The 8,179-nt window shown below is 46.8% G+C and overlaps 3 annotated features.

Moving 5' to 3' along the window:
• Positions 813–1,027: a silencer, noted in NCBI's record as "fragment chr9:116561341-116561555 (GRCh37/hg19 assembly coordinates)". NCBI's record gives its function as "represses an EF-1alpha promoter that drives an FKBP-Casp9 reporter gene in an ReSE screen in HepG2 liver carcinoma cells and K562 erythroleukemia cells {active_cell/tissue: HepG2 | K562}" and the evidence as "EXISTENCE:reporter gene assay evidence [ECO:0000049][PMID:32094911]".
• Positions 4,951–5,839: an enhancer, noted in NCBI's record as "H3K4me1 hESC enhancer chr9:116556529-116557417 (GRCh37/hg19 assembly coordinates)". NCBI's record gives its function as "activates a minimal SCP1, AML or CMV promoter by ChIP-STARR-seq in primed H9 embryonic stem cells {active_cell/tissue: H9 hESC(primed)}" and the evidence as "EXISTENCE:reporter gene assay evidence [ECO:0000049][PMID:30033119]".
• Positions 7,710–7,920: a silencer, noted in NCBI's record as "fragment chr9:116554448-116554658 (GRCh37/hg19 assembly coordinates)". NCBI's record gives its function as "represses an EF-1alpha promoter that drives an FKBP-Casp9 reporter gene in an ReSE screen in phorbol 12-myristate 13-acetate-treated (for megakaryocytic differentiation) K562 erythroleukemia cells {active_cell/tissue: K562(+PMA)}" and the evidence as "EXISTENCE:reporter gene assay evidence [ECO:0000049][PMID:32094911]".

Raw genomic sequence — 8,179 nt, 5'->3', positions numbered from 1 at the left:
TCTCTATTACCTACTGCTCCAGAGACTCTGTGTTTCCTAAACCTTGCAATGGACAGGTCAGATGAGATGATGAAAAAAGGGCCTTATCAGCTGGAAAGTGTGGCAAGCACACCAGATAATTATGGTTCAGTGCAATTAGATGCTTTTTTTTTTGTCTGAGACAGAGTCTTGCTCTGTAGCCCAGGCTAGAGAGCAGTGGCACGATCTCGGCTTGCTGCAGGCTCTGCCTCCCAGGCTCAAGAGATTCTTCTGCCTCAGCCTCCTGAGTAGCTGAGACTACAGGTGTGCACCACCACACCCACCTAGGTTTTGTATTTTTAGTAGAGAAGGGGTTCCACCATGTTGGTCAGGCTGATCTTGAACTCCTGACCTCGTGATCCACCCACCTCGGCCTCCCAAAGTGCTGGGATTACAGGCGTGAGCCACCGCGCCCAGCTAGATGCTCTTAAACGAGGGAGGGAGAGGAGAAGAAAGGGATTGAAGGCTCTGTTTTCGCTGATTTCAGGAGGCAAAGGGGAGTGGTTGTCATTCATTCATTCATTCATTTCACAAACATTTCACTGATGCTTCTGAGTGCCAGGCACTGAGCTGGGCAGCATAGGGCATGAAGAGTGGAAGAGAGAAGCCACAGTCTAGCAGGAGAAAGACAGGGAAGCAAATAGACTCACCACAAGGACAGGGCCTGCATCTTCCTTGTTCACCAGCTTGGGCTCTCCCAGCTGTGGCCCTCTGTGGGCATATGTTGGATGAAGGCCCTCTAAGCCTAGAATGGCACTGTGACCCCTTGCACAAAGGTCAGCATGGGGCTTTGCTTTTCTTTTTTCTTTTTCAAATGAGACAGGATCTCGCTGTGTCACCCAAGCTCGAGTTCGGTGGGACAATCACAGCTCACTGCAGCCTTGACCTCCCCAGCTCAAGCCATCTTCCTACCTCAGCCTCCTGAGTAGCTGGGATTATAGGTGCAGGCCATTATGTCTAGATAACTTAAAAAAAATAGAGATGGGGTCTCCCTGTGTTGCCCAGGCTGGTCTTGAACTCCTGGGCTCAAGTGATCCTCTGCCTCTGCCTCCCAAAGTGCTGGGATTACAGACGTGAGCCACCATGCCTGGCCTAGCTTGGGGCTTTTCTAAAAACTGAAACCCACTTTTTTCCGCAGTTCATTCATGCAGCCAGGGAGTGACTGATAGTCCTGAAGTTTGCATGAAGAATTCCAGAAATCCCTGCAGTAGTTCTAAAACAATACAACATTGGCTCGAAGTTGGCTGCTGACATATAGAAGGAGGTGGAGATGCCACTCCAGAGGTGAGGTCCCTGTGCAGTAAATGAAGAGGGAACATCCTGCACTGAGTCCTTCTTAACTCTCTGGTCCATGCCCCTTTGCGCTCTCTCTGGAGGCTCTTCTTTGAAACACAGGAAAATTGCTGCCAAACCTCACGGAGCTTGAGAAGGCTGATCAGAAGAGCAACAAGCCTGAAGTTTAGAATTAGGTTAAAGAAGATTTAGCTTTATTACCCTGAAATATATACAATGACTCAGAAAACATCATATTGCCAGGCCTGCAGGAATTAACAACTGGAAAAGAACAGAATGAATGAGTCACCTAAGAGGAGCACATTATTGTCACCAGGCAGGTGCCACTAAAGTCCTGTAAATTGGTGAAAAATTCCCCATAGAACCTTCCTTGCAGCTCATGCTAAAAGATGTTTCTGTGGGTCTCATCCACAAAACCCCACACCCTGACAATAAGAAACCCTTCTCGAGGCTGAGCGTCATGGCTCGCACCTGTAATTCCCACACTTTGAGAGGCAGAGGCAGGCGGATCACTTGAGGCCAGGAGTTCAAGACCAGCCTAATCAACATAACAAAACCCCATCTCTACTAAAAGACAAAAACTTAGCCAGACGTGGTGGTGCATGCCTGTGGTCTCAGCTACTTGGGAAGATATATCAGGAATGAGAATCGCTTGAACCCAGAAGGCAGAGATTGCAGTCAGCCGAGATCGTGCCACTGTACTCCAGCCTGGGCAACAGAGCAAGATTCTGACTCAAAAAACAAAACAAAACAAAACAAAAACAAAACGCTTCTCTAATGCAAGAATCCCCTCTACAGCTTATCAGTTCATAGGCTACACTTGAATACCACCAGCAATGGGGAACTCACTACCTCAAAAAGGAGTTTGGTCTATCGCCAGATTATTGTAATCATCCTAAAACGCCTCTGTTCCTCTTTGTAATGGACTGAAATCTGACTCTCACTACATCTGTGGGTAAAGCAATAGTAACTGCCTGTGTTTTCAGGGCCAGAATTGTTGCTGGATGAATATAGGAAGGCTTTTCCTTTCCATGGAAGGAAACTTCCTTCCTCTTATTTGCTGGTGCAACCAAACATTTAATTATAAAAGCTTCTCCAAGGCAATAGATGTTAAAAATTAAGATGAATACACTCATTGTTGCCAATAGCACAGACTGCTATTACTCCGAAAGTCCCAATTCATTACTGTATATTGTAACTGAACATTAACACTTGCATAACGACCTCAAGACCTGTCTCGCATGCACAATCAGTAGTCCTGACCAGGCTCCTTTATACCCAGGAAAGAAAGAGGGGGAAAAAAATACAAAACAGACGACGTGGGAAAATTGCCTTTCCAGTGGAAACATTGACAAACCTTTCATTACAATCATTCACTATACCTCACCTGATGCCACAATTGAATTCCTGAGCCCGGTCAAACGACAATGGGATGCGGTGGGAAGCAGGGGAGGAACTGGGGGCCCCAGTTTCCCCAAAACTCTCAACCTACCTGATCACTCTCCAGCGGCACCTCCTTCGTCCACTAGGGGATACCTGTCTCTCCCACCCCAGAATACCTGGGAGAGTTGGCTGAAAGGAAGGCAGGCACCCAGGAACCATTCTCCATGGACCCCGCTCCCCCACCAGGGACATCCAGGCACACTGGAGTCAAAGAGCAACTCTCAAATGGACCACGTCACCCCTGCTCAAAACCCTTCAATGGCTCCCATTGGCCTGGGGATAAAATCCCAAGTCCTGTGATCAAGTCCAGCCTAGCTCTCCGGTCTCCTCCCTGCCTCACACTTCCCTTCCCACCACCCTGGACTGTCTTTTCTCTGTCTCTCTGAACTCCTTCCTGACGCAGTGCCCTTGCACATCCTGCTGTTCCCTCCACACCACCCCATTCCCTCCTGGGCTGGCTGGTGCCCCCTCCTTTGTCAGGCCCCAGCTCAGAAGTCTGTCTAGAGCTGAGGGCCTTCCTGTCGGCTCTCGTCCTCTTCCCACCTACGCTTGGCACGAGGGGTCACTGTCTATTTGTTGGTTGCCACTTGCTGATTGTCTTGTTTCTTGACCATCCCATTCTGAATCATTCCCCTCTGCATCCCCAGCATCTGGCACAATGCCTGGTCCCAAGGAGACAAGCAATAATGATTTCTTGAATGAATAAATGAGAGTGTTACATAAAATTTCAGACAGTTCATGGAGCTCCTGAAATCCAAGGATGTCCCAGACTGACTTTGGCTTTCTAATTCTGGCCCGAGTTTCACATACATCCACAGGTTTTTGGAAGAAACCAGGATAGGGGTCTATCCTGCAGTCATCCTCATCTTTCAGATAAGGACTGGGAGCTGCTGAGAGGTGGTGGGTATATCAGTCAGGGCTCTCTAGAGAAACTGAACCAACAGGAGAGAGAGAGAGAGAGAGAGAGAGATGAAAGATAGATAGATAGATAGATAGATAGACAGATAGATAGATAGATAGACAGACAGACTAGATAAATGATAGATTAGATAGATGATAGATTGATGGTAGATTAGACAGATGACTAGATAGATAACAGATAAATTAGACAGACAGACTAGATAGATAGATGATAAATAGAGAGATGATAGATTAGACAGACTAGATAGGTGGATAGATGATAAATTAGATGATAGATTGATGATAGATTATGATAATAATCTATAACAGACAATAACAGATAACAGACTAGATAGATGATAGATTGATGATAGATTAGACAGATGACTAGGTAGATAGACGATAGATTAGACAGACTAGATAGGTAGATGTTAGATTAGACAGACGACTAGATAGATAGATAGATTAGACAGACAGACTAGATAGATGATAAATACATAGAGGATAGATTAGACAGACAGACTAGATAGGTGGATAGATGATAGATTAGATAGATGATAGATGATAGACAGACTAGATAGATAGAAAAATAGATAGATAGATAGGTAAATAGATAGACAGATAGATAAAGATACAGCACATATAGACAGAGACAGAGAGAAAGAGAGATTTTAATCAATTGTGGAGGCTGGGAAGTCCCAAGTCTGCAGGGTGGGCTGGCAGACTGGAGACACTTACTGAGCCTTCAGTGCTACGCCCTGTTCTGTGCACTCCCTCTGGCATTAACCCACTTAACCCTTCAACGATACTCTGGCCCATAGTACACATTCACTCCAACAATAACAAGGCCACTGTTATTATGATCTCCATTTTAAAGTAGGGGACACTGAACCCCTGGAGTGACTTACCCATGATTGTACCACCAGCAAGCATCAGAGCTGGGATTTGAACACTCTGGTTCTAGAACCAAGGCTGGGAACCACCACACTGCATTCCACACCCAGTCCCTCAGGCTCACCTTTCTACTGGGAGGCCCCGTGCAGAGACAAGGCAGAGCCTAGCATTCAATCTCATCTCTGCCACTTAGTAGCCATGTGACCTGGAAAAATCACCCTGTTCTATGCCCCAGTTTACCACTGCAACATGGAAAACATAACTCCTAGTTCTTAGGGGTGTTATGAGAATTCAGAGTGATCTTGGATGTAAAGCACTTAGAATATATAATTCACTTTTAATAAATAGTGGCTATTAATAATAATAGCAACAGTATTAATGGATGTAAAGGCCCTTTGTAAACTCTGAAGTGCCTCTAGACACGGCAATGGAGTCACTCAGGCCTGGGTTGAAAATAGGGTGACCAACTGCCCTGGTTTATCTGGGACTGTCCTGGTTTTAGCACTGAAAGTCCCATGTCCCCAGAAATCCCTCCGTCCCAAGCAAACCAGGTCAGTCGATCACACCACAGGCCCTGCTCCTTTCTAGCTGTGTGAATGCACTAGTCACTTTACCTCGCGGAGCCTCAGTTTCCTCACCTGTAAAATGGGGTTAAAGTTCTAAGCCAGTGGTCCCTGAACCAGCAACATCAGTATTGCCTGGGAACTTGTTGCAAATGCAGATTCTCAGACCCCACCTCAGACCCCACCTCAGATCTACTGAAACACCTTAGGGGTGTTTCCCAAACCCTCCTGGTGAGTCTGATGCCTGCCAACGTTTGAGAGCCTTGATATAAAGTACCTCCCTGGGGGCATTTCACAGGTTGTAGAGGGCTAAAGCCAGACCAGGTAAGCACCTGGCACGCTGTGAACATTCAGCTGCCAGTGGCCATCACTACCAACATTACAAGGTTGGTGGCGACATATTTACCGTGAAGGTGGAAACTGGGGTGAACGATAGGGTCCTCCAGTCCCAAGACTTCTCTCCAAACTGGAGCCTGACATTTGTTTTTTGCATCTAAAAGCTGGGCTAACTTCCTGCTTTCAGAAAGCTTAATTCCCTCATTCTTGTTTTGAAGATGAGACCTCTCAAGGCTGATATTGCCTCGCTATTGTTATGCACGTGTTGGTTAAAGTTTTAATTCAGTGCCTCCTAGTTGAGGGCAGAGGGAGTTTGGGGATCTGGGGCCACCTGGGTGGTGTTGCTTCTGGGCCCTGTTTTGACCCATTGGGTTAAGGCAGGTGCGATGATAATGATGACAACTCCCGTTTAATCGTCCCATACCCATGTTCCGGGTCCTGTGAAGTCACTGTGGGGCCTGGGTCTGCCTCTGTGTTCTGCGTTGCCCAGAACACTGCCTGGCATCAAATCAGTGCTTAGTAAGTACTTGTTAAATAAACGACTGCGTGTTCTGAGTGCATGATACACGTTGTCTTATTTAATTCTCATGACGCCTTCACGAGTTAGGTACAATCATCATTCTCCATTCTGCAGATGTAGAAACTGAGTCCAGAAAGCTTAGACGACTTGCTTAAAGCCCCCGACCATAAGAAGCAGGCCAGGGATTGAAAACCTAATTTTCTTTTCACGGAGGAGGGACTGCAGATGTGCTGGGCTCAGCCCCAATACTGCCGCCTCTGAGAAGCCTCCCTTGAGTCCCTGCCCCCTTCCTTCCTGCCCTCATCACACATTTTGCAGCCCGCTCTTTGGACCTCTCAAGGCTGACATTGCCTCGCTGTTTATACACGTGTCGGGCTGCGTGTCTCCAACACTGACCTGTTTATCTGTGCAGCTGAGTGTAGGCCTCCTGGTCCCAAGAGCCCTCCATGAAACCTGGGTGAATGACAAATGAACTCGCAGGCTCTGAGAAGGAGCCTGAGTTTGGCCAGTAAGACCAGAAAGTGAACACTCACTATCGAACTGAAATGAAGGGAAGGTGAGTGGAAACCTGGCCAGATGAGCCCTCTGGTTTCCGCAGCTGAAGGTCATGAGGCATTAAATGCCCAAGTCCACCTTTGGATCTTCTCAGAAACCACAGTCCACCCAAGGTGCCTCAATGCCCTTTGTGGGCTTGGCCCTTCCAGAAGACATCAGGGCTGAGTATAAAATTGGCTTCACCGGGTAACGCTGCATGCGTGTGTTGTGTTCCTGGTAATATAATGCTTTGTCTATGACTTTTTAAAACAATGAAAACGTAAAAGTGAAGGGCCCAGCCGCGAGGAGAGAGGTGACGAGTGGAACTGATAAGTTTGATTTCGTATACCTTTCTTAGCAAGTGGGGGAATGCTGACATCACCCAGAGCACCCCGAGAACAGATTCTTCTTCATCCCCAGGGCTGCCGGGAGTAAAGGGGCTGAACAGCCTCCACCAGCCCTCGGGTGACTTAAAGGATTTCCAATTTGTAAACAAATAGATTTAGAACAAGACTCCCCAATGGGAGAACTAAGTCAAATTCATTTTGTCAAGGAAATCATTGTCAGATATAATTTTCCCTAAATTTCCACAGCCAAACTCAACCTTGGCTATCAAGGCAAGTAGCTACAGGCTGGGCCCGTGGTGGTGCACGTCTGTGCTCCCAGCTACTTGGGAGGCTGAAGTGGGCAGATCACTTGAGCCCAGGAGGTTGAGGCTGCAATGAGCCACGATCATGCCACTGCACTCCAGCTTGGGTGACAGAGTGAGACCCTGTCTCAAAAAAAAAAAAAGTAGTTATAAAGGAACGTGAATGTTAATTTTTTAAAATCCCCACCTTACTATCCTTGAGGAAGATGGATCTGCCAGAATCACTTTCTCCCTTGTGTGATGCTTGTTACTATTCATCTGTTTCTTTCTTCCTAGATTGTCAGCCCCTTGAGGGAAGAATCCATGAAAAACTCTATCTTTGACCTCCATGTTCTCTGGTGCTCCCTGAGTTCTGTAGGCAGTAGCATCAAAATTGTGGCCCCTTGCTGAGTACGGTGGTTGTAAGGGGTAAATGAGAGAATCTTCCCCACATACGTGGCAGTATGCCTGGCAAATAAAGATTAGCTCACACGTATTATTTTAGTGATGAGGATAGTTAGGGTGACCAACTGTCTTGGTTTGCCTGGGACTGAGGGGGTTCCCAGGATGGACAGTCCTGGGTAAACTGGCACAAGTCGGTCGCCTTAGGGATGGGTGGTCATTGAGTGCCTGTGACTTGTCAGGCATGGTTGGTGCTGGGTAAATTAGATGGATTATTTCATTTAAACCTCACAACAGCCCTGTGAGCTATTTGTGATTATCTGCATTTTACAGAGTAATACATTAAAACTTTAAGTCATATCTTCCCAGCTGCTAGCTCCTTCTCCATCAAATACTGATTTTTTCAAACAAGAAAATGACTTCATTGCTGTTTTATTCCACTGCGGTAAATTGAATGCCCTTGTCTCCCAATTCTTAACCCTCCCTGCATACACACACTTGCCATATGACTTGGGCTTGGCCATGTGACTTGGCAAATGGCATGTGGACAGAAGTGACAGACCCAAGCCCAGGCCTTTTTTGCATGTTTCTGCTTATACTTTTTTTTTTTTTTTGAGACAGAGTCTCGCTCCATTGCCCAGGCTGAAG

Source organism: Homo sapiens, chromosome 9, assembly GCF_000001405.40.
Source record: "Homo sapiens chromosome 9, GRCh38.p14 Primary Assembly".
NCBI classification, from domain to species: domain Eukaryota; kingdom Metazoa; phylum Chordata; class Mammalia; order Primates; family Hominidae; genus Homo; species Homo sapiens.
This window is presented reverse-complemented; position numbering and strand designations above follow the sequence as displayed.